The sequence below is a fragment of the Homo sapiens genome, chromosome 8, assembly GCF_000001405.40.
Source record: "Homo sapiens chromosome 8, GRCh38.p14 Primary Assembly".
NCBI lineage: Eukaryota > Metazoa > Chordata > Mammalia > Primates > Hominidae > Homo > Homo sapiens.
This window is the reverse complement of record NC_000008.11, coordinates 12,035,344-12,037,056: the sequence shown is the minus strand read 5'-3', so window position 1 is coordinate 12,037,056 and position 1,713 is coordinate 12,035,344.

Here is a 1,713-nt window from a genome sequence, read left to right as displayed (position 1 = left end):
ATATTGGGAGTGAAATTTTCCTCTCTTCCCCTGGACATTAGGAAGTGTATCATAGGGGGAGGGTGTACATTCCCTGCGATATTCAATGTAACTTTATCCTCTCCCTCCCAGGGTATTCAGAACAATATTACAGGAGGGGTGTACACCCTCTGCGATATTGAGAGTCATATCATCCTCTTTCGCTCTGGATGTTAGGAACAATATCACAGGGTTGTGTACACCCCCTGCGGTATTGGGAGTAATATCATCCTGTCTCCCTGTGGATATTAGGAAGAGTATCACAGGGCTGTGGAAACCCTCTGCGATACTGGGAGTAACATCATCCTCTCTCCCTCTGAATATAGGAAGATTTTCACAGGGGGGTGTACACCCCCTGCTATATTGGGAGTAAGATCATCCTCTCCACCCAGGAAATGACTAACAAGGTCACGGGGGGGTGTACTCCCCCTGCGATATTGGGAATAATGTCGTCCTCCCCAAACCTGGATGTTAGCAATGAGATCACAGAGGGGCTGTACACACCCTGCGACACTGGAAGTAACATGATCCTCTCCCCACCTGGATACTGGGAAAGATACCACAGCGCGGGTATACGTTTCCTACACTGGTGGGAGTAATATCATTCTTTTCCTTTCTGGATATTAGGAAGAATATCACAGGGGTGCTGTACAATTACTTCGATATCGGGAGTAATATCATCCTCTATTTTCCTGGATATTGGGCACAAAATCACAGAAGGGTGTACAACCCCTGCGATATTGGGAGTAATAGCATACTCTCCATCCTTGGATGTTAGAAAACAATATCATCAGGGCTGAACACCCCTCGCGATAATAGGAGTCATGGTTACTCTTTCACAGGCCATTTGGAACAATATCACAGGGGGTGTTTACAAACAGGGGTGGTGTACACCCCCTGTGATATTGGGAGTAACATCATTCTCTCCACCTCCAGATATTAAGAACAATATCCTGGCGGGAGGTGGTACACCCCCAGTGATATTGCGAATAATGTCATCCTCTCCTTCCCTGGATATTAGGAACAATATCACAGGGGGTGTACACCTTCTGTGATATTGGAAGCAATATCATCCTCTCCCCCGCTGGATATTAGAAAAAAAAATCACTCACGGTGTACACCCACTGTGATATGAGGGGTAATATCTTCCTAGGGTATTACGAATAATTTCACAGTCTGTACACACATGGTGTACACTCACTGTGATATTAGGAGTAATATCTACCTAGTAGATAACAAATAACATCGCAGGGTGTACACCAACTTTGATATTAGCTCTAGTATTCTTCTAAGTTGTTACAAATAAGATCACAGCGTGTTCCAACATGGTGTACACTCACTGTGATATCAGGAGTCCTATCTCTGTGATGTATTATCAATAATATCACAGGATGTACACCCACTGTATTATTAGGAGTAAGATCTCTGTAGGATATTACAATTAAGATCACAGGGTGTAGAGTCACCATGATATTAGGAGCAATATCTTTCTAGGATATTACAAATAATATCACAGGGTGTACGCCCACTCTACTGTCAGGAGCAATACCTCCCTAGGATATCAAAAATCCTATCACAGGGTGTCCAATCTCTGCCTTCCAGGTTATAAGGGATTCTCCAGCTTCAGCCTCCCGAGTAGCTAGGGTTACCCGCCACCACGACCGGCTATTTTTTTTTATTATTTTCACTGGAGAC